Source organism: Homo sapiens, chromosome 1, assembly GCF_000001405.40.
Source record: "Homo sapiens chromosome 1, GRCh38.p14 Primary Assembly".
NCBI classification, from domain to species: Eukaryota; Metazoa; Chordata; class Mammalia; order Primates; family Hominidae; genus Homo; species Homo sapiens.
In genome coordinates this window covers 212,173,039-212,197,709 of record NC_000001.11, presented here as the reverse complement: position 1 = coordinate 212,197,709, position 24,671 = coordinate 212,173,039, and the positions used below count along the sequence as shown (strand labels likewise).

General features: G+C 44.3%; 4 annotated features.

Moving 5' to 3' along the window:
- Positions 10,699-10,758: an enhancer, noted in NCBI's record as "active region_2500". NCBI's record gives its function as "activates an Ori minimal core promoter by ATAC-STARR-seq in GM12878 lymphoblastoid cells {active_cell/tissue: GM12878}" and the evidence as "EXISTENCE:reporter gene assay evidence [ECO:0000049][PMID:35858748]".
- Positions 10,809-10,858: an enhancer, noted in NCBI's record as "active region_2499". NCBI's record gives its function as "activates an Ori minimal core promoter by ATAC-STARR-seq in GM12878 lymphoblastoid cells {active_cell/tissue: GM12878}" and the evidence as "EXISTENCE:reporter gene assay evidence [ECO:0000049][PMID:35858748]".
- Positions 10,809-11,103: an enhancer, noted in NCBI's record as "tiled region #12199; K562 Activating DNase matched - State 5:Enh". NCBI's record gives its function as "activates a minimal TATA promoter and a strong SV40 promoter by Sharpr-MPRA in K562 cells {active_cell/tissue: K562}" and the evidence as "EXISTENCE:reporter gene assay evidence [ECO:0000049][PMID:27701403]".
- Positions 23,376-23,627: a silencer, noted in NCBI's record as "fragment chr1:212347425-212347676 (GRCh37/hg19 assembly coordinates)". NCBI's record gives its function as "represses an EF-1alpha promoter that drives an FKBP-Casp9 reporter gene in an ReSE screen in K562 erythroleukemia cells {active_cell/tissue: K562}" and the evidence as "EXISTENCE:reporter gene assay evidence [ECO:0000049][PMID:32094911]".

Genomic DNA, 24,671 nt, shown 5'->3' with positions numbered 1-24,671 from the left:
TATTTTTAGTAGAGACAGGGTTTCACCATATTGGTCAGGCTGGTCTCAAACTCTTAACCTCACATAATCCATCCACTTCTGCCTCCCAAAGTGCTGAGATTACAGGCGTGAGCTACCAAGCCCAGCATAATTTTTGTATTTTTAATAGAGACAGGGTTTCACCATGTTGACCAGGCTGGTCTTGAACTCCTGACCTCAGGGGATCCATCCACCTTGGCCTCCCAAGGTGCTGGGATTACAGGCGTGAGCCACTGTGCTCAGTCTGATGTTTTTCTTGTGTGACTGAGATCATGGGTTTTTTTAACAAGAAGATCACAGAGATAAGGTACTATTTTCATCACATCATTCAAGGGTATATACTGTCAACACAATTTATCACTGTTGATTTTGACCTTAACCACCTCCACTGTAAAGTTACTCCATCTCCTGCTTTTCATACTGTATTCTTTGGAAGGAAGGCGGTACAGTTGACCCTACAACAATGCAGGTTGGGGCGCCGGGTGTGGTGGCTCACGCCTGTAATCCCAGCACTTTGGGAGACCGGGGTGGGTGGATCACCTGAGGTCAGGAGTTTGAGACCAGCCTGACCAACATGGAGAAACCCCGTCTTTACTAAAAATACAAAATTAGCCTGGCATGGTGGCACATGCTTGTAATCCCAGCTACTCCGGAAGGCTGAGGCAGGAGAATCGCTTGAACCTGGGAGGCGGAGCTTGCAGTGAGCCGAGGTCGTGCCATTGTACTCCAGCCTGGGCAACAAGAGAGAAACTCTGTCTCAAAAAAAAAAAAAAAAAAAAAAAAAAAAACAATGCAGGTTGGAACTGCACAGGTCCACTTATACGCAGATTTTTTTTATAAATACAGTCAGCCCTCTGTATCCGCAGGTTCCACATTCACAACCAAATGTGGATGGAAAATACAGTATTGGAGAAATTTGAAACCAGCAGATAGGGAGGGCTGACTTTGTGTATGGCTGAGTTCGTCAGGGCCCACTTTGGGACTTGCGTATGTGTGGATTTTGATATCTGTGGATCTGTGGGTATATTAGGCCATTCTTGTGTTGCTATGAATAAATACCAGAGAGTGGGTAGTTTTTGAAGAAAAGAGGTTTAATTAGCTCACAGTTCTGCAGGTTGTACAGTCATGGCACTGACATTCCTCATCTTCTGGAGAGGCCTTAGGGGCTTTTACTCATGAGAGGCGAAGCAGAAGCAGGGGAATCACATGGTGAAAGGTGGAGCAAGAGAGAGAGTTGGGGTGAGCTGGGGAGGTGCCACACATTTTTAAATGACCAGATCTCATGAGAACTCACTATCACAAAGACAGCACACAAAGACAGCACCAAGCCATGAGGGATCCACCCTCATGATCCAGACACTTCCCACCAGGCCCCACCTCCAGCATTGAGGATTATAATTCAACATGAAATTTGGGCAGAAAAAAAAATCCAAACCATATCATTCTGCCCCAGCCTCTCCCAAGTGTCACCTCCTCACATTGCAAAATATAATCATGCCTTCCCAACAGTCCCCCAAATCTTAACTCATTCCAGCATTAACTCAGAAGACCCAAGTAAGTTCAAAGTGTCGTCTAGAGATGAGTTCCTTCACTTATGAGCCTATAAAATCAAACAATTATTTACTCCCATGATACAATGGGGGTATAGGCATTGGGTAAACATTCTTATTCCAAAAGGGAGAAATCAGCCAAAAGAAAAGGGCTACAGGCCCCTTTCAAAACCCAATAGTTCAAAACCCAGCAGGGTAGTCATTAAAAGTTAAAGCTCCAAAATAATCTCCTTTGAATCCATGTCCCACACCCAGGGCACAGTGGCACAAGGGGTGGGCTCTGAAGGCCTTGAGCAGCTCTGCCTCTGTGGCTTTGTAGGGTTCAGCCCCATGGCTGCTCCCATGGGTTGGAGTTGAATGTCTGTAGCTTTTCCAGGTGCAGGGTGAAAGCTGCCAGTGGATTTACTATTCTGGGGTCTTAAGGATGGTAGCTGCCTTCTCACAGCTCCACTAGGCAGTGCCCAGTGGGAACTCTGCTGGGGGCCTCCAACCCCACATTTCCCCTCTGCACTGCCCTAGTAGAGGTTCTCTGTGAGGGCCCTGCCCCCATAAGCAGGCTTCTGTCTTGACAGCCAGGCTTTTCCATACATTCTCTGAAATTTAGGTGGAGGCTGCCAAGAATCCACCACTCTTGCACTCTGCATCTGCAGGCTTAGCACTACATGGAAGCTGCCAACGTTTAGGGCTTGTATTCTCCAGAGCAGCAGCCCAAGCTATACCTGGGCTCCTTTGAGCCACGGCAGGAGCTGGAGTGGCCAGAATGTGGAGAGTGGTGTCCCAAGGCCATGCAGGGCAGTGGGGCCCTGGGCCCTGTCCATGAAACCATTCTTCCTTCCTAGGCCTCTGGACCTGTAATGGGAGGGGCTGCTACAAAGGTCTCTGAAATTCCTTCAAGGCCTTTCCCCCCATTGTTTTGGACATGATCAATTTGCTCTGTTTTATTTATGCAAATATCTCTAGCAAGTGGTTGCTCCATAGTCTGTTTGAAATCCTCTCCCAAAAAAGTTTTTTCTTTATCTGCCACATAGCCAGGCTGCAAAATTTCCAAACTTTTGTGCTCTGCTTCCCTTTTAAATATAAGTTCCAACTTTAAGTCATTCCTTTGCTCCCACATCTGAGCATAGGTTGTTAGAAGAAGCCAGGCTATATCTCAAACACTTGGCTGCTTAGAAGTTTCTTCCATCAGGTATTCTAGCTCATCACCCTCAACTTCAAACTTCCATGGATCTCTAGGGCATGGACATGATACAGCCAAATTCTTTGCTAAAGCATAACAAGGGTGATCTTTTCTCCAGTTCCCAGTAAGTTCCTCATCTCCAAATGAGACCTCATCAGCATGGCCTTTGTCCATACCACTGTCAGCATTTTGGTCACAACCATTTAACAAGTCTCTAAGAAGTTCCAAACTTTCCCTAATCTTCTTATCTTTTTCTGAGCCCTCCAGTGTCTTCTATTCTCTGCCTGTTACTCAGTTCCAAAGCTGCTTCCACATTTTCAGGTATCTTTAAAGCAATGCCCCACTTCTGGTACCAGTTTTTTGTACTACACCATTCTTGCATTGCTATAAAGAAATACCTGAGACTGGGTAATTTATAAGAAAAGAAGTTTAATTGGCTCATGGTTCTGTAAGCTGTATAGGAAGCATAGCACCAACATCTGCTTCTGGAGAGGCCTCAGAAAGCTTTTACTCATGGCAAAAAGTGAAGTAGGAGCAGGCACATCACATGGCCAGAGCAGGAACAACAGAGAGCGGGTGTGGGGAGAGGTGCCACACACTTTAAAATCACCAGATCTTGTGAGAACTCACTCACTATTGCAAAGATAGCACTAAGCCACGAGGGATCCACCCCATGACCCAAACACCTCCTACTAGGACCCACCTCCAGCACTGGGGATTACAATTCAACATGAGATTTGGGCAGGGATAAATATCCAAACTATATCAGTGAGGGTCCTCAGATAAGTCCCTCTAAGATATCAGAGGATGGAATGACTGTATATACAGCCACACTTAAGAAGCAGGGATTTATGCTCCCCATCCTTTGGGGTGGAGTAACTATATACATTATTTGAAATTCTTCTGCATGGGAGATTTGTCTGTTATCCTCCATTTACTTATTCACTAGATCTTTTGGTCTTACATAGATTTTATTCTTTAGAGCAGTTTTAGATTCACAGTAAAACTGAGCAAAAAGTACAGTTAGCCAAAAAAAAAAAAACCCAACTGAAAGATGGGCAAGGGGCCTGAATAGACATTTCTCAAAAGAAGACATACAAATGGCCAGCAGGTTTATGAAAAGATGCTCAATATCACTATCAGAGAAATGCAAATCAAAACCACAATGAGATATTACCTCATATCTGTTAGAATGGTTATTATAAAGAAGACAAAAGATAACAAGTGTTGGTAAGGATGTGGAGAAAAAGGAACGCTGGACACTGTTGGTGGGAATGAAAATTGGTATAGCCATTATGGAAAACAGTACGGAGGTTTCTCAAAAAATTAAAAATAGTACTACCATATGATCCAGCAATCCAATTTCTGGGTATATATCCAAAGGAAATGAAATCAGTGTCTCAAAAAGATATCTGCACTTTCATGTTCATTGCAGCATTATTCACAATAGCTAAGATATGGAAACAGCCTAAAGTGTTTGTAGATGGATGACTGGAAAAGGAAAATGTGTGTGGGGGGGGGCAGGGGTGTGTATTCCATTGTGTGTGTATACACAATGTATGCAATATAATGGAATATTTTTGAGCCTGCCATTTACCACAACATGGATAAACCTGAAGGACATGATGCTAAGTGAAATAAGTCAGATACAGAAATACAAATATTGCATGACTTCACTTATATATGGAACCTAACAAAGTTGAATGCATAAAGGCAGAGTAGAATGATAGTTGCTAGGGGCTGGGGGGTTGGGGGAAAATGGGGAGATGTTGGCCAAAGGGTAGGAAGTTTCGGTTATGCAAGATGATATGTTTTAGAAATCTATTGCATAGCATGCTGACTGTAGTTAAAAATACTGTATTGTATATTTGAAATTTGCTAAGAAAGTGCATCTTAAGTGGTTCTCAACACACAAAAGGTAGCTATGTGAGATACGCATATGTTGATTAGCTTGATTGTGGTAGTCATTTCACAGTGTATAGGTATCTCAAAACATCACATTGTACACAATAAATACATACAATTTTTGTCAAGTGTACTTCAGTTAAGCTGGGAAAAAAAATACACAGTTTTCATACACTTCTATCCTCTCTTGGGCAGCATACAGCATTCTCCACTGTCAACATCCCACTCCCAAGTAATATACTGACACTATACCACTACACTGACACCATCATTACCACCCAAAGTTCATAGTTTATGTTTATTCTTGGTATTGTACACTCTGTGGGTTTGGACAAATGTGTAATGACATACATTCACCATTATGGGATCATATGGAATAGTTTTACTGCCCTAAAAATCCTCTGTGCTCCCACCTAAACATCGTTTTCTCTCCCTTCCCCCCTGACAATGACTGATGTTTTTAGAGCCTCCATAGTTTTGCCTTTTCCATCATGTCATATAGTTGAGATCATATGGTATATAATATTTTAAGATTTGCTCTTTCACTTAGCAATATGCATTCAGGTTCTTTCATGTCTGTTCATGGCTTGATAGCTCATTTCGTTTCATCACTGAATAATATTTCATTGTCTGGACATGCCACAGTTTATCCATTCACCTACTGAAGATGTCTTGATTACTTTCAAATTTGGGCAATTATGAATAAAACTGCTGTAGACATACTTGTGCAAATTTTTGTGTACACATAAGTTATCAGTTCATTTGGATACATACCCAGGGTTTTAGTTGCTGAATTGTATGGTAAAAGTATGTTTAAAGTTTAAGAAACCTCCAAACTGTCTTCCAAAGTAGCTGTACCATTTTCCATTTCCACCAGTAATGAATGTGATTTCCTATTACTCCACATCCTTGCAAGCATTTGGTGTTGTCATTGTTTTGAATTTTGGCCATTCTAATAGGTACATAGTGGTGTCTCGTTGTTTGAATTTGCAATTCCCTAATGATGTATGATGTTGAATATCTTTTCATATCCTTATTTGCCATCTGTATATCTTTTTTTGATGAGGTGTCTATTCAGGTCTTTTGCTTATTTTTAATAGAGTTGTCTTTTATTGCTGTTTTAAGAGTTATTTAATATTTTGGATAACGGTCCTTTATCAGATGTCTCTTTTCAAATATTTTCTTCTAGTCAATGGCTTATATTCTCATTCTTTTGACAACGTCTTTTGCAGAGCAGAAGTTTTAATTTTATTGAAGTCTAGCTTATCAATTATTTATTTCATGGGTTGTGCCCTTGATGTTATACCTAAAATGTCATCTATATTTTTCTCTTATGTTATCTCCCAGGAGTTTTATAGTTTCAGGTTTTACATTTAGGTCTATGATCCATTTTGAATTAATTTTTGGGAAGAGTATAAAGTCTGTGTCTAGATTTTTTTTTCCACACATGGACATCCAGTAGTTCCACTTAACATTTTTTTTTTACATATATGTTTAAATAGATTTTAGAAGAAAAATTTTGGCAATATTCTAGTAAACTCTTTTGGCACCAAGATGACTGCTGAGCAGTTTGGGAAATGTTGAACTCCTAAATAAAGACCCTCCACGGCTTGGTACTGCCCACCTCTGAAGCCTTGGCCCTCAGCACTCCCTCTACACATTCAGTCCTCCAGCCAGCCTGAGCTACAGGCTGTCCTTCCCAACCTTTTTCCTATTGAAATGGCCACTTTTTTTTTTTTTTGAGACAGAGTTTCGCTCTTGTTGCCCAGGCTGGAGTGCAGTGGCACAATCTTGGCTCACCACAACCTCCGCCTCCCGGGTTCAAGCAATTCTCCTGCCTCAGCCTCCCGAGTAGCTGGGATTACAGGCATGCACCACCATGCCTAGCTAATTTTGTATTTTTAGTAGAGACGGGGTTTCTCCAGGTTGGTCAGGCTGGTCTCAAACTCCCGATTTCAGGGGATCCACCCACCTTGGCCTTCCAAAGGGCTGGGATTACAGGCATGAGCCACTGCACCTGGTCGAAATGGCCACTTTCTAAAAACCCCTTCTCATCCAGCTTTCGCTGTGGAAACTTCCCTGCTGAGGTACTCTCTGACTCCTCTGGGCTAACACGTATTCTACTTACACCTCTGTCGTAGCACTTGTCAAATTGCATAATGATTGGTTCTTGATTTGTTTTTGCTCTCCCTTCTAGAATCCACATTTTCCTTTGTAACACCCCTTTTCAAGTTATGAAGTATATGTTCTTCTTTTTATTACACATTGGATAGGTGGGCTGTAGACAAACCCATCTGTCTTCCAAAGTCCTACTCTGCCTAGGAACCCGTCAATGTGAGGATGATCATTTGGATCTTCTTAGATTTGTGTACTTTGGCTACAACTAAAACATTTGGGAGGTGCAGGAAAGAGCAGAAATGGCGTGACATGTACCATACGTCTAGATATTTCAAAGTTATGAATCAAGAGAATAAACTTTTCTAAAAATATAATTCTGCAATTTAAAACTTCTAATTTAAAAGTAAACTTTAATATTGAAAATGCAAACTTGGGGAGGGCAGAAAGATCACACACAGGGCTGCCACTTCACACTTGGAGGGTTGCACAGCAGCCGGGCAAAGGCTCTCCTCACTTCTCAGATGGTGCTGCGGCTGGCGGGAGGCGCGGGCCAGGGGGAGGGGCTTTTCACTTCCCCGATGGTGGGGCGATCAGGCAGAGGCGCTCCTCACTTCCCAGACAGTGGGGCGGCCAGGCAGAGGCGCTCCTCGCTTCCCAGACAGTGGGGCGGCCAGGCAGAGGCGCTCCTCGCTTCCCAGACAATGGAGCGGCCAGGCAGAGACACTCCTCACTTCCCAGACATTGTGGCGACCAAGGAGAGTCGCTCCTCACTTCCCAGACAGGTTGGCGACCGGGCAGAGGAGCTCCTCACTTTCCAGACAGCTGGGCTCCAGGCAGAGGCGCTCCACACTTCCCAGATGGTGGGGCGGCTGGGCAGAGGTGCTCCTCACTTGAGAATAAACTGTTAAATAAAATGTGTTTTATTATCCTAGCTTGATAAATATACCTTTATTATTTATTTATTATTTTTTTTTGAGATGGAGTGTCACTCTGTCACCCAGGCTGGAGTACAGTGGTGCCATCTCGGCTCTCTGCAACCTCCGCCTCCTGGGTTCAAGCGATTCTCCTGCCTCAGCCTCTCAAGTAGCTGGAACGACAGGCAGACACAACCATGCCCAGCTAATTTTTGTACTTTTAATGGAAACGGGGTTTCACAATGTTGGCCAGGCTGTTCTTGAAGTCCTGACTTCAGGTGGTCTGCCCACCTTGGCTTCCCAGAGTGATAGGATTACAGGTGTGAACCAACGCACCCAGCCAACAAATATACTTTTAGAATGACCTGGAAGAACAATTTCAAATGTAGATTCTTGAATTACTTGGAGTCCTGCCCTGAAATGTGGTGGCACAGGACACGATGACTTCCTTCCTCTGCTTCCTTTCCTGCTTCTGGCTCTGTCCAAGGGACCTCATATGCAAGCCTGTGGATACTCCAGAATGTGGTCCAACCTCTGTCCACATGTCCTGCCAACAGCTGCCCCGAGGCCACCTCTCAGGCCCAGAGATCTCATGGTGGCAATGAGGCCATCCCTGAGGGGATGGGCCACAAAAACTCTGGGGGCAGGGTCAGAGAGGGCCAATGTCCAGAGTATTCTGGTGTCCCAGCTACCTGGAGCATGATCTAGAAGGGAAGGGGTGCTGGATGGCCACGTCTCCTTGGCCCTGAGGACCGTGCCTGCAGTGAGGAGAGACACAGCTGGAGGAAGCACAGTTCTCTGACTTTAATGCACATGTGAATCACCTGGGATCTTATTAAGTAGGTATGGGGTAGGGCCTGATATTCTGCATTTCTCCCAAGCTTCCAGGTGCTGTTGATGCTGCTGGTACAAGGGCCACACTTTGAATAATTAAGGTCTAAAGCAAAGGCCCAAGGCAGGGGTCCTTTTTACCTTGGCAGAGCAATACCATTAGCAAAAAAGGATGTGTTTGATAATTTAATTACTCCCATGGATAAAGTACCAATAGAACTTAGTACGCACTTAAAGTTACACAAAAACAATATATGTGCAACACAAATTTGAATGTAACACCAATGCCTACATGGAGAATTCTTTAGCACAACCAGGTGAGTCTCACAGCCTTTGGCCCTATAAGTTATCATGTTCTTCCCCTTCTTGCACCCTCTGACCCCTTCCTGTATGTGGTTCACCCTGCATGACTCACTGAGCAGGTACTGACATTTCTAGTAGTCTTCTTTTTTCCTTCTGCAGATCCTTACAAACGCATTTCTTACTTTTTTTTTTTTTGAGACGAAGTCTCACTCTGTTGCCTCAGCTGGCGTGCAGTGGCATGATCTCAGCTCACTGGAACCTCCACCTCCCATGTTCAAGCAATTCTCCATCCTCAGCCTCCAGAGTAGCTGGGATTATAGGTGTGCGCCACCATGCCCAGCTAATTTTTGCATTTTTCGTAGAGACAGAGTTCCACCATGTTGGCCAGGCTGGTCTCGAACTCCTGACCTCAGATGATCTGCCCGACTCGGCCTCCCAAAGTGCTGGGCCTATAGGTGTGAGTCACTGCGCCCGGCCGCATTTCTTATACTTATTCATCATTTACTATGCTCTTTTCTCTCATATGCTTCACCGTACTCACAGCACGTTAGTCCCGGCACTTTCCGCAACAGACTTGTTACTTTTCCAGGCCCTTTTGCCCTCAGCCCTGAAGCCCACTGGGCCCGGCTGGTGCTGGTGCTGCTTCTCTGGCAGCTGCTGCCTCCTGTCTCTGAGCTCCCTGATACTGGAAAGAACCCTCCCAAGGCTTCCTTCTGGCATGTGGAGGCATCTTCAGCCAATTCCATGTGGCAAGTGAATCTATTTATACCTTTTGGAAACCTCATCATTTGGGCAGGAAGTGACCAACTTCCTGGCAAAGAACTCCCAAGAACATCTTCCCAAAGGGAAAAGAGAGAAAACATATCTCTGACGTACATGTATGGTTTCCTCACTTTTAACTGGTCCTGCCCCAGCCCAGCGGTGCGCCTCCAGGCTGAAGAGCCTCTGCTAGGGACAGAAGCCCACCCTGGCTCAAGGACTTAGATGCAGCAGGTGTTTAGTCAGCCTTGATTGAATTGAGTTGAATTTCTTGTGGCTGGAAAACTGTTTCCTATTTATTTTCTTCTCCTGCCAATCCTTTCACAGGGCACTGTCAAATATTGGCCAATGCGGCTGGGTGCAGTGGCTCACACCTGTAATTCCAACACTTTGGAAGGCCGAGATGGGCAGATCACAAGGTCAGGAGATCGAGACCATCCTGGCTAACACGGTTAAACCCTGTCTCTACTAAAAATACTAAAGATCACCTTTTGAGGGCCGGGAGCAGTGGCTCACGCCTGTAATCTTAGCACTTTGGGAGGCTGAGGCGGGTAGATCATCTGAGGTCAGGAGTTTGAGACCAGCCTGGCCAACACGGTGAAACCCCGTCTCCCCATCTCTACTAAAAATACAAAAATTAGCTGGGCATGGTGGCAGGCCACCTGTAATCCCAGCTACCTGGGAGGTTGAAGCAGGAGAATCACTTGAACCCGGGAGGCGGAGGTTGCAGTGAGCTGAGATTGTGCCACTGCACTCCAGCCTGGGTGACAAGAGTGGGACTTCATCTCAAAAAAAAAAAATCACTTTTTGCTACAACTGAGGATTCAGTGTATGTCAGAATACTCACTGCTGACTCAAGGGGTTCACATTATGGGTACAGAGAGCGACGTAAACTTTCTTCTAGATAGAGGAGGAAATAATATGACATGGAGCCAGCACCCACCACCCCCACCCTAAACAAATCAACAAAAAAACTCCTGTGTTGACTGGAACACATGAGAACTTTGTCTCTAGAGTATGTAAGAGATGGCTTTAGGGGTCTATAAACAGGCCGTTTCTAGATGGTGATGTATTATAGAAGGACCGAAAACTGGTGCTGCCTCTATGAGTGCTGTAAATGCTGTGAGAACTTAATATTTTGGCAATGACTGCAGGTGAAATTACTGCTTACTTTGGTATCATTTTCAGTTTTACAATACATATTTTTTCAAATCTGCTACACCAAATTCTAATAGTCAAAGATGTGCCTCCAACACGAAAAGAAAAAAAAAAGATTAAGAACCACCACACTACTACCTTACAGGACTCAGCAGGACTAGCCCCAGGGACGAAACTGAAACAGGAGAGTTGGTCTCCAGAGAATACTTCCTTCTTCCTGCTACGACCTTCTTGCCTACTGTTGCTGGCTTCATCTCAACAATGCAGAAAGCTTACTGTTCAACCATTCTTTCTCCCAGGGTTAACGGTTTCAAGGTACAGTCCTGCTAATGTTAATGTGATTGGCCCTCCCTCACATTTAATGTTAATGTGATTGGCCCTCCCTCACATTTAATGTTAATGTGATTGGCCCTCCCTCACATTCACTGTACATTTTCATGATGGTTCTCTGGTGCTTGTTGGGGTAGACACTGACAGGTGAGGAAACCTTTGTGTGGGAAGCACTTCTGCACAGTTAAGGCCTCGGGACCCTCCTATTTTATCCTGGCGGGCTGGCTTTTTTCTCTATGCAAGTGGTGCTCACTACTGCTATTGGTCTGATGGACTGACCCGTTGACTGAATTTCTGGGTGACAAACGAAGGTCCAAGGTTGATTTTTTATTTTATTTTGAGACAGAGTCTCACTCTGTCACCCAGACTAGAGTAGCACAATCTCGGTTCACTGCAACCTCTGCCTCCTGGGCCCAAGCAATCCTCCTACCTCAGCCTTTCCAGTAGCTGGGACCACAGGTGTGTGCCACCATGCCTTCATTTTTTTTTTTTTTTTTAAATAAAGGCAAGGTCTCACTATGTTGCTGAGGCTGGTCTCAAACTCCTGGGCTCAAGCGATCCTCTTGCCTCAGCCTCCTAAAGTGCTGAGATTACAGGTGTGAGACACTGTGCCTGGCCAGTTTTCTTTATATTTACTCTGCTTGGAGATTATTGAGCTTCTTGTATGCGTGAGTTTATGGTTTTCATCAATTTGGGGAAATTTTCAGCCATTATTTTTTCAAAAAAAATTTCTTATTCCCCTCTTCTGGGACTTAAATTCCATGTTAAACTGCTTAATATTGTCTCTCAGGTAACTGAAGCTCACTCTCTTTACCTCTCTCTCTTTATTTTTTGTTTCTTTAGTTGTTTTTCTCTAGACAGTTTCTATTGCTATGTTTTCAATTTATTGATCTTTTCTTTTGCATCGTCCAATTTGTTCTTAATCCCATGCAGTATACTTTCCATTTCAAATGTATTTTTCATCTCTAGGAGTTTCGTTTGGATCTTTTTTGTATCTTCAGTTTATCCTTTCATTGTGTTCATGTTTTCTATCTATTTTTATTTTCTTTTTTGAGACAGAGTCTCTATCGCTCAGGCTGGAGTGCAGTGGTGGTGTCTCAGCTCACTGCAACCTCCGCCTCCGGGGTTCAAGCAATTCTCATGCCTCGGCCTTCCAAGTAGCTGGGATTACAGGTGCATGCCACCACGCCCAGCTAATTTTTGTATTTTTAATAGAGTCGGGACTTCACTGTATTGGCCAGTCTGGTCCCGAACTCCTGGCTTCAAGTGATCCACCCGCCTCTGCCTCCTGACCTCAAGTGATCCACCCGCCTCTGCCTCCTGACCTCAAGTGATCCACCCGCCTCTGCCTCCCGACCTCAAGTGATCCACCCGCCTCTGCCTCCTGACCTCAAGTGATCCACCCGCCTCTGCCTCCCAAAGTGCTGGGATTACAGTCGTGAGCCACCACACCTGGCTCAGGTTTTCTATCTTCCTCAGCATGTGAAGCATGCTTATAGTAGTTGTTTTTAAGGTTCTTATCTGCTAATTTCATCATCTCTGCCACTTCTGGGTCTGTTTTTACTGACTGACTTTTCTCCTAGTTATGGGTACTATTTTCCTATTGTGATGCATGCTTGGCAAGCTTCGACTGGTCGCTGGATATTGTGAATTTTACCTTGTTGGATACTAGATTTTGTTGTAATCCTTTAAATAATGCTCTACTTTGTTCAGTTAAGTTACTTAGATTTAATCTGATCCCTTCAAGGCTTGCTTTTAAGCTTTGTTAGGGTGGGTCCAGAGCAACAGGTAGTCTAGGGCTTATTTAGCCCCACCACCATGACCATACCCTTCTGTGGACTCTACTTAATGCTCTGTGTGTGATGAGGTCTTTCCACTCTGCCTAATGGGAACTGAATTCCGTGACCTTCAGGAATTTGGGGTGTTCTTGCTTTCTTTCTTTCTTTCTTTTTTTTTTCTGAGACGGAGTCACTGTCGCCCAGGCTGGAGTCAGTGGCGCGATCTCGGCGCACTACAACCTCCGCCTCCCAGGTTCAAGCGATTCTCCTGCCTCAGCCTCCTGAGTAGCTGGGACTACAGGCGCATGGCAACACGCCTGGCTAATTTTTGTATTTTTAGTAGAGACGAGGTTTCACCATATCGGCCAGGCTTGTCTCAAACTCCTGATCTCGTGATCTGCCCACTTCGCCTCCCAAAGTGCTGGGATTACAGGTGTGAGCCACCGCGCCCGGCCCGATGTCCTTGCTTTCTATTGCATGTATGTTTGTTTTACGCAGTTTCATGTTGTTTTCTCTCCTACATGCACAGATCAGTACCCAGTCAAATTATCAACCTGCAGATCTCTGGAGCTCTCTTGCAGGGCAGGTTCCTCCTCCCTGATATGTTGCCTCTCAAATTCTCGCCATCTCAGCATTCCTAAACTTCAGTCTCTCAACTCAGTGAGAGCACGAGGCTGTGCTTGGGTTCCTCTTCCCCACACTGCAGCCAGGAAACTGCCTGTAGCCAGTTAAACTGAAGCAATCATAGGACTGACCTTGGTTTTCCCCTCCCTTCTTTCAGGGACACAATCCTGTGCTAACTAACCAAATCCTGAAACTGTTGTGTCGTATAGTTTGTTCAGATTTTTAGTAGTTTCAGGTAAGAAAGTGAATCCCTGGCTGGGTGCTGTGGTTCACGCCTGTAATCCCAATACTTTGGGAGGCCAAGGCGGGTGGATCACCTGAGGTCAGGAGTTTGAGACCAGCCTGGCCAACATGGTGAAACCTCGTCTCTACTAAAAATACAAAAAATTAGCTGGGCGTGGTGGTGAGCACCTGTAATCCCAGTTACTAGGGAGGCTGAGGCGGGAGAATTGCTTGAACCTAGGAGGCAGAGGTTGCAGTGAGCCGAGATGGAGCCATCGTACTCCAGCCTGGGCAACAAGAGAGAAACTTCATCCATCTCAAAAAAAAAAAAAAAAAGTAAATCCCTGGAGTCTATTATTTCATCGTGGCGAGGAACAGAAGTTCTCTCAACACAGATCTAATTATGTAACACATGACATTTTACATCATGATCTTTTCACTTAAGTGTAGATTTTGGTTATTTTTCCATTGTATTACACAGTTGTAGTAGACATTATTTTAAACTATGTACTCATTCATTATCTTATTAAACAACTATCTACTGAGTGTCTTCTATGCTCCAGGCACTGGATAAAGCAGTAAAACAACAACAAGGACAAACCCAAATAAAAACAAAACAAAACAAAACAAAAACCCAGGTAAGCTCACACTGTCATGGAGCTTTTACTCTAGTAGCAGGAAGATGGGAAAAAGGTAAGTAAACAGATAAATGAGCAAACCTTACAGCGATAAGTGCTATAAGATAGGGTGAGTGGGCCGGGCGTGGTGGCCCACGCCTATCATCCCAGCACTTTGGGAGGCTGAGGCAGGTGGATCACGAGGCCAGGAGTTCGAGATCAGCCTGACCAACATGGTGAAACCCTGTCTCTACTAAAAATACAAAAATTAGCCGAGCGTAGTGGTGCACCCCTGTAATCCCAGCTAAGCCCCAGGCTGGGGCAGGAGAATTGCTTGAACCCGGGAGCTGGAGGTTACAGTGAGCCAAGATCGTGCCATTGCACTCCAGCCTGGGCAACAGAGCAAGATTCGGACAAAAAAAAAAAAAGATAGGGCGAGTGTTAGAGGGTGACTAGGACAGTTATTTAAGATGAGTGTTAAAGCCGTAGAAACCTTTCAGGTTTCTTCTAGAGCACTCCTCCTCAAAGTCACCTGCACAATGATCCCTGCATTAGACTCTGCCTCTAGAGAACCTGACCTCAGACAGAATATGCACCTTCTGAAGATTCCTGATTTACTACATCCTTATTGCTTAAGAATTCTATTTTTAGAAATACTATGTCCACTGGAGACAATTTGAAACTTAATCACAATGAAAAGTAGGAAGCAGTTGAAGGTGTGGGAGGTGGCAGATGGGTAATTGAAGGATAATTAAAGATCCTGAGGTAAAGAACTAACTGCAGCTTGATACGGTCTGAATGTTTGTGTCCCCCAGAACATTCATATGGTGAAACCTAATCCCCAGTGTGATAGTATTAGGAGGTGGGGTCTTTGGGAGATTATTAGGTCATGATGGTAGCGACCTCACTGATGGGATTAGTGCCCTTAGAAGAGAGACCCTGAGAGATCCCTTGGCCCTCTGCCATGTAAGCATGGCCATCTATGAACCAGGAAGCAGGCCCTCACCAGACACTGATTCTCCCACATGTCGTGATCTTGGACTTCCCAGAAGGGTGAGAAATAAATTTCTGTTATTTATAAGCCACTCGGACTATGACAGTTCGTTATAACAGCCCAATAGACTAAGACATAGCTGATGGCTACATGTAGAATTAGAGTTCTTTTGGGTTTGAATGGGTTAGGAACAGAAGTCTGTGAAGACTTTTGGAATAACCATACCTAACCTTAAACCAGAGTAGGCCATTTGGAATCATCCAGGTGAACATGTTGCTCCTTTTCCTCAGCAACTATTAGAGCCTGCAGGTTACCTCTCTGGTCCCAGAACAAATATCCCATTTTCCTCTAAAGGAGTCTGCCATTTGATCCAGAGGCCCGGTGGTTTAAGATCTAAGGACAAAAAAAAAAAAAAAAAAAAAAAAAAACAGAAACAGGAAAGCCAAGGGTGTGAGCAATGGTGAAAAGAAAGAAGGGGGCAAACTGAGAGACAAGAAGGAGGCTACAGACTAGAGAAGGAAAACTTAGGGTATCTTGAAACTTCAGTCGCAATTCTTTCTTTCTTCTCTGTGGGAGAAGAAGATAGTCAAGCGGGAAAGTTGAAGTTCAGCAGTGGCAAACGCCCCACCACTACCCTTCCCCACTCCCTGCCTCCCCCATCTCCCCACCTTCTACCCACTTTTTGAAGAGAGGATCTTAGATAAGGGAGCCTGGGCAGAGTGTTTGGAAGTGCTCTCTTATTGAGAGTCTGGGCAGATTCCAACCTGGCATTCAAGGTAGATGGCAATTCCACTGCCAAGCATTTCTGAAGAGGCCAATATCTGAAGAGGCTGTGATCTAGAATCATTAACAAATTCAACCAAATGTTAAGAAAATGAGAAAGGACTCCATGCAGGTAGGCAGTCAGTCTTCCTCTGGGTTCTTGTGCTATCTTTATCTTCGTCAGAATCAGAATAGAAATGATTAAGTACACACCTGAATATACCCCTTAGGTGCTGAGAACATACAGTCCTTCAAACGCTGCCTTCACCTTAGGGAGGGCGTGCCCTTTGAGTTCCATTTTCAGGACTGTGATTGGGTTTTATAGGGCCAGTCACAGGTTATGGTAATAACTAACAATTGAACAGGACATTAGAGCTTCCAAAATACTTTCACAAATATTATTTAGCTGCCACTATCTTAGTCCATTTGTGCTGATATAACAAAATACCAGAGGCTGGTTAGCTTATAAATAGCAGAAATGTATTTCTCACTGTTCTGAAGTCTGAGAAGTCCAAGATCAAGACACTGGCAGACTCAGTGTCTGGTGACTGCTTTCTGGTTCATAAATGGCACTTTCTACTTGTACCCTCACATGGTGGTTGGGATGAACAAGCTCCCTTGGACCTATTGTGTAAGGGCACTGATTGTATTCATAAGGGTGCTGTTCTCATGACCCAATCACCTCCCCAAACGTTCTACCTCCTAATATCATCACCTTAGGGGTTAGAATTTCAACATAGGAATTTTGCGGGGACATAAACATTCAGATCATAGCAACCACTCATCTGTATGGTAGCTACTCTTACTGTTGTTGTTGTTTACGTTTTTTCAGACGGGTGCAGTAAGGGTCAGAGCAATTCAGAAATTTGCCCAAGATCCCATAGCCAACAAGAGGCAATCCTTTTCTTCTGGTCTAAAATCTATATATTTCACACTGTCGCTGTCCCATTCTCTGCTCACTGGAGTCTTCTTGTGTCCTGATACCCAGAGAAAGGAGTTCTAAGATCCTAGCGAGGGCAACAGGGAGCTGGCCATCCATGGGCTCCCAAAAACCTACACTATCTCTCAAGGGGGACTTCCCATACTTGTTGGAAAAGGAACATTAAATTCCACCCTTTTTTTACTTTAAGGACCACTCTCAACTTTCTGGACACAGAAGGCACTTCATTGTCCGCCTGATTTGCCCTCTCTCATTCTCAGGATGGAAGACCTCTCTAGCCAATGGGAAGATGGCAAGATGTGTGAATGTACCCCTGGGAGCAAAATCACAGAGCCTGTGTAATCCTCTATACATGTAGGGACTGAGTGTGGGTATCTCTGGCCAGTGTGGATGTTGACCACGTTGTTTCGTAACCCTGCCTCACTTGCTCCTCTCTCCCCAACCTCCAGAACTGCCTATCTAACTCATCTGTGGTGATGGAATGCTATTTCTTTCACATTACCCTGATTAAGTATCATTAGAAAGGTAACTGCTGTGCTTAAAACAAATAAATCACCTAACACATTCCAGAGATAAATTCAAATTATTTTTAGATAATCCATCCTTTTGGATTATCCAAATGACCACTGCTTCCCCTAGCAGGAATAATTGAGAACTGAGACAAAAAGAAACTTAACCAAAATTTAAGCCAACCTGCAGACCAGCTATAAGGCTTACTGTGGAAGAAAATATATAGTGATGGCATTTGGGAGTATGTGTCATCCCTAGGAACATGGTGGTGGTAATTTCAGCATTTGCAAAGCTCTGACTCATAGCAAAGCATGCTGTGCTATGGGGATAGACCCAGCTCTGGATTGGACAGTTTCTGAGGCACAGTCACCCAACAGGCCCAGGAAGCTTATTAATCCTCATCAGGGTGTGATTACGGTTCCCAACCCAAGCCAGCAGTGAACACAAATGCCGTGCTGAGATTCCCAGGCTGGAACATGTGGGGGCAAGACTTGCCCAGGAAGGGATATAGAAGAGTCTTTACACTACACTATCCTATACTACAGTTCCTCCTCTCATGCTCACAGAATAGAGACAGCTTAGTCTAGGGTAGAGAGGGCACCAGGCTGGGGTGGTGGCATGGGGGACAGGGATCAGAGGCAGGATGGGTGGCTTGACCTCAGCCTTAGAGTAGTCATGCCTGCCATTCCTCAGCACCACCAAAGTGGGGCAAAGCAGCTATGCCTGTACCTGCAGGACTGTTGGCAAAACAAAGAGGACCTTTGAGGGTGCTTGGAGCTAGAAAATTCTGCTCCCCTTGTCAACAACACTGAACCCTGATTTTGGAGATCCTTGCGTCAGTTGTGGAGGCAATGAGGCAGAAGTACAAGGGAAAGCTCCTACCCGCTGGGAACTGCTGCTGTAATGTGAGGGGAGTTCTGGGTCAAATGCCAAAGCCCCTAGAGGTGTTTGGGAACAGGCTGTGGAGCTGCTCCATGAACTAAAGGGCTCTTAAGTTCTTTCCATTCCTAACATTCTGTGATTCTAATTTAATGGGAGACTGGAAAAACATATGTCGAAAATACACAAATGCTAAGCAGCAAGAAATGTAGTGACAGAGTGAAGCCTTGACTTCCTGCCTTGAGCATGATCTGTATAGGTTGTGGTGCTCAGCCAGGGCCCAGACCACCAATAGTAGAGCTGAAGACAGGAAGACAGTGAGGCTGGACATGGGATGAAGGGCGTGAGTATGAGAAAAGACAGTGAGTCTAGTTGAAAGTTCAGAGAGCTGTTGTAAAAGAGATTGGAAAGAGGAAACTCCAAAAAATGACTTCTTTTTTTTTTTTTTAACTCAGAGTCTGGAAATCTCTTTTCTCCTGGAGAAGAGAAACTTGGCTGTTGTTTCATTTGAGATATTAAGTTCTTCTCGTGTAAGATGATTCCACTCTTCCCCCGAAAAGGGTTTTTGGTGAGAGGGAGGTGGGTGCAGAGGATTCGGGGCTTCTTTGGGCCTTGTCTGCAGTGACTGAGGCATCTCAGGACCCTGCCTCCTGTGGATCAAAAACCTGAGATGGGTTCCTCTCCTGCAAACACCTAAGCAATTGTCATGTGGATGGACTGAAGATACTTTTGTGACTGCTCAGTAAATGTCTCAAGGGAAGATCATTTGGAGGGTAAGCTAGGAAAGGGGAGAGGTAACTAGAGTGTTCTAAAGCTAAGCAGATTCCAGCAAGCAGGAAGGTTTTCTAGAAAGGGGGAGTTCAAATCTGCTTGACTGATGAAGGTGAGCTGTCTTCTGTCTGACGCATGACCTGCAAATGCATCTCTGTGTGTACTAACCTGATCTGCTCTGGTGGTACGGCTCTTAAACATCCAAGTTGGTCAAATCTCCTTTGATGGATTAGAGCAAGCCAAGGATGTTTATTGAGCACCTCCTGCCTGAGGAGGCTTTGTAGTACCTTGGAAAGTGCCTGAGTTCTGTGGCCAAAAGGATCCAGTACAAGTCCTGCCCGGGCCACTTACTAGTCACATCTCCTTGAGTAAGTTGCTTGATCTCTCTGATCCTGCAGGGTCCTTAGTTATAAAATGGGGACGGTCACTCACTTCACAGGGTTGGGTTGAGAATGAAATCTGACTAAGGCCCAGAGGTAGTGCCTTGGGCCTGTCTGTTGTGTTTCTTCTTGGCATTCATGATAAGAGCTGAGAAATGAAATTTCAAAAGGAGAAATAGTAGCTAAGAGCACATGAATAAAACTTCCAGTAGATAGACAGATTTTCATTTTTCTTTTCACATTTCAGTATTATTTGTGACTATTCTTGTATGAGAATATTTCTGTCAGGGCTTAAATGTGTCAAACAAGAAAGAATCGGAGGAACCAGAAGTCTGGGTTTCTGCTCCAGCTGCTATTAACTGAGAGAGACCTTGGGCAAAACCTTTGATCTTATTGAGCCTTGATGATCTCATCTGTAAAATGGGAAGACTGGGGCCTCTCTCAAAGGGTTGTGGTTAGGATCAAATAAAATCATAAATGTAAAATCCCTTGATGAACTAGGGGGAATGTGACACAAATGGAAGCTAGTTTTTGCATGTCAGATGTTCATCGATCATCTGCTTGAAGCATACATATTAACTGGGTTGATTTCCTAGGCAGTCTTATCCATATTTTGGCAGACATGTGCACCTGCTTTTTCTTTTCTTTTCTTTTTTTTTTGAGACAGAGTCTCACTCTGTCACCCAGGCTAGAGTGCAGTGGTGTGATTTTGGCTCACTGCAACATCCACCTCCCGGGTTCAAGCAATTCTCCCACCTCAGCCTCCCAAGTAGCTGGGACTACAAGCGTGCACCACCACACTCAGCTAATTTTTGTATTTTTAGTAGAGACAAGGTTTCACCATGTTGGTCAGGCTGGTCTTGAACTCTTGACCTCAGGTGATCCGCCCACCTCGGCCTCCCAAAGTGCTGGGATTATAGGCGGGAACCTCTGTGCCTAGCCCGCCTGCTTTTTCTTTCATCATTCAATCCTTATCTCAGTCTCATCCCTCCACCAGGTTAAAGGGACTGAGACACTGTTAACCTTATTGTGCCTGGGGCAGGCCAGATGTTCCTGAATGGTCACTAAGGACTCAGGACCATGAGGATGATCACCACTTGATGGTGAAAAGGGCTTTTTCTGCTTGCCTGGCAAACCCTCTCAGGGCTCGTGATGCTATAGCCAGCACTCCTTTGCTGTTCCCTGCCTTTTCTTCATCAAGCATTATTTTAGGATAACCAAGGAAAGAAAAGATTCATGGGATATAGGTAATAGGATGTGACCACTGTGTCCTCCAAGTTGCTCCACCCACAAACTTTGCATGAAACACTTGAATACAACAAAAAAGAAATGGTAGTGTCATTCTCCAATTCTCTCTTATGCACCTCCCTGTCAAAAACTGCAGAGATTGTAGAGAAGAAGGCTATAGCCATACAGCATGAAAACAAAAGAGGGGTGCAATTCCCAATCATTCTGCATTAATGTGAGTTTACTGTCACTTCTTTGTCTTGCTTTGAGCAAAGTTTATGCTTTGAGCATAAACTACCTTGTCCTATCAATTTATTTGCATTAAAAATTAAAACCTTTTCTGGCCAGGCACCGTGGCTCATGCCTATAATCACAGCAGTTTAGGAGGCCGAGGCGGGCAGATCACCTGAGGTCAGCAGTTCAAGACCAGCCTGGCCAACATGGTGAAACCCTGTCTCTACTAAAAATACTAAAATTGCCAGGCCATGGGGGTGGGCGCCTGTAATCCCAGCTACTTGGGAGGCTGAAGCAGGAGAATCATTTGAATGCAAGAAGTGGAGGTTGCAGTAAGCTGAGATTGGGCCACTGCTCCCCAGTCTGGGCGATAGAGCAGATTCCATTTCAAAAACAAAACAAAACAAAAACGTTTTCTAAAGATAAAATTATACATACTTGTAGGAAATTTAGAAAATAAAGAAAATGATAAGGAAGAAAAAAAGAACTGCTTATAATTCCACCACTGATAATATCTAGGGGTTTGCAGTCATAAAATGTAGATAATCTGTCCATAGTTTTTTATATTTTTTCACTCAGTTTTATGACATGAAAAATTTCCCATAATGCTAAAATTATCAGAAAAACATAGATTTTAATGGCTGCATAATATCCATTATACTGGTGAATCATAAGTTATTTACCGATTCTCTATTGTTCAACATTTTGACTGTTTTTATTTTGTTCTCCATTAAGAATAATACTGCTGGCCAGGTGCGGTGTCTCATGCCTGTAATCCCAGCACTTTGGGAGGCCGAAGTGGGCAGATCACGAGGTCAGGAGATCGAGACCATCCTGGCTAACACGGAGAAACCCCGTCTCTACTAAAAATGCAAAAAAAAAAAAAAAAAAAAAAAGCCAGGCGTGGTGGCGGGTGCCTGTAGTCCCAGCTACTTGGGAGGCTGAGGCAGGAGAATGGCATGAACCCAGGAGGTGGAGCTTGCAGTGAGCCGAGATTGTGCCACTGCACTCTAGCCAGGGAGACACGGCGAGACTCTGTCTCAAAAAAAAAAAAAAAAAAAAAAGAATAACACTGCTATTAATATTCTTGTACGTAAGTGTCCATGTCTCTGATTATTTCCTTAATATAAATTACTAGAATAGAACTACTGGGTCAGAGTCAGAACATTTCTGAAAGTCTTGATATAAGATATATAATTTGCCTTTAAGGAAATATGCACCAATTTACCCTCCCACTAATAGTGTATAATAGTAATATTTCAGCACCCCCAGCTAAGAAGGCTGCATATTATCTTTATTTTAATATTTTCTATTTTAATGAGTGAAACTGATTTGCTTTGTTTTTATGTGGCCACCCTGCCCTGTCACTCCAGCTGTGGTACTCGTTCTTTGTTACCTGTTTGTTAAGTGTGTATGCCCTGTCTACTTCCAAACAGAATCTGAAGTGGTCCTGACTAAATCATAAGCCCTTAAAGCCAGCAATTTCCCCTCTTTTTAGTTTAAGGTTTCTGTGACTGGCACAGAGGGTTTCACATATTCAATATTTGATATGTTTGGCGGTTATTTTTGAACTCTATAGAAATATCCACTAACAGAATATTCTCTCTTTCGTGGATGCATATGGCTCTATTATGTCCCCATCTCTCAACTCTCATCGTCCTTACAGGTATATTATGTACACTGAATGTTTCATTTTATATCTGTATAATTATGCAGTAGTTTGTTAGGAGGAAACAACAAACAACAACCCAAAAAACCCTGCATCCCTAGCTGGATTATCAGTTACTTGAGGTCAGGGAATATGTTATTTATTTCTCTTAGAAAACACGAGCACAGTGTTGAGCACATGCAAACACTGTGTGTGTGTATTCTTTGATTTTTTTTGAGACAGAGTCTCACTCTGCCGCCCAGGCTGGAGTGCAATGGCACAATCTTGGCTCACTGCAACCTCTGCCCCCCGGGGTTCAAGCAATTCTCCTGCCTCAGCCTCCCGAGTACCTGGGATTACAGGCGTGCACCACCACACCAAGCTAATTTTTTGCATTTTTAGTAGAGATGGGGTTTCACCATGTTGGCCACGCTGGTTTTGAACTCCTGACCTCAAGTGATCCGCCTGCCTCAGCCTCCCAAAGTTCTGGGATTACAGGCGTGAGCCACCGCACCCGCCCTGATGTTTGTTAAGGCATGACTTATCAGTAAAAGCTTTCCCACATTTATTGCACTCATAAGGTTTCTCTCCTATATGGGTTCTCTGGCAAACACTTTTTTTTTTTTATTAAACATGATTGAGGCCAGGCGTGGTGGCTGACGCCTGTAATCCCAGCACTTTGGGAGGCTGAAGTGGGTGGATTACGAGGTTAGGAGATCCAGACCATCCTGGCTAACACAGTGAAACCCCGTCTCTACAAAAAATTAGCCAGGTGTGGCGGCGGGCGCCTGTAGTCCCAGCTACTCAGGAGGCTGAGGCAGGAGAATGGCGTGAACCCGGGAGGCGGAGCTTGCAGTGAGGCGAGATCGCGCCACTGTACTCCAGCCTGGGCGACAGAGCGAGACTCTGTCTCAAACAAAACAAAACAAAAAACAAACAGCAACAATAACAAAAAACATGATTGAGTGTTTGTTACGTGTCAAACACTGCACTCAGTGCTGAGGAAACTAGTGCACAGTCTGATAGAAGGGGTGGCATTTGGGGGCACAAGGAATGTGATGGGAACTTTAGGAGAGACCTGAAGCCCCAACTGGAGGAATCAAGGAGGACTTCCTGAATTAGGCAGTGACTCAAAAGAGTTAGCCAATAAATAATGCAGCTGAGAGATTGAGTGTTTCGGGAAGACAGAATAGCATACGCAAAGTTACAGTAGACAAAAAATGTATTACTGGCTGGAGGAATTTATTACTGGCTCAACATATTCAGAACAGAGAAAATTGCAGGAGATAAGGCTGGAGAGGTGAGCAAGGTCCATTATGTTCACAGTGAGAATGGAAGCTGCTGGTTTTGGCCTTCATCAGTGTGTATAGTGGTGATCCCATTAGCGTCAATACCCAGCTCTCACAAACTCTTGAGTCTCACTGGCTTAACTAAAAGAAGTCAAGATCCATGCAGGAAATCAAAGTTATTTTCAGAGTCTTTTCTACCAAATACTTAGGGGACTCTTTGTGGAGTACTTTTATGTTTTCATGAACCCACCTAGATTACCACTTGCTACCATGTCTAGCCAGGCTGCAATTCTGCAGTTCCAAGTCTTAATGATTTAACAGGGTACCAACACAAGGTTGGAACATTTTTCCTGTTATTGGCATGAATACCTAGACAATTAGGTTCATAATGTTGAAACTGGAGCATCGCTCCTGCATCTGAAGACCAGACTTTATTGCCACTGCTCTAGTCAAGTGTGAAGGAAAATGCTCTGATTGGCTACAGGTCAATTAAGGGTTCCATGGCAAGCCTGCTTGGCTCCAAAGTAACAGCTCTTTAAACCTCCACACAAGCCCCTGCAATGGTTGGAATGTTTGTGTCTCTCCAAAATCCATGTTGAAACTTAATCCTCAATGCAAGAGTATTAAGAGGTGGGGCCTTTCGGGAAGTGATTGAGTTATGAGGGCTCTGCCCTTGCGAATGACACTAATGTCCTTATAAAAGAGGCTTCAGGCTGGGCGAGGCGGCTCACGC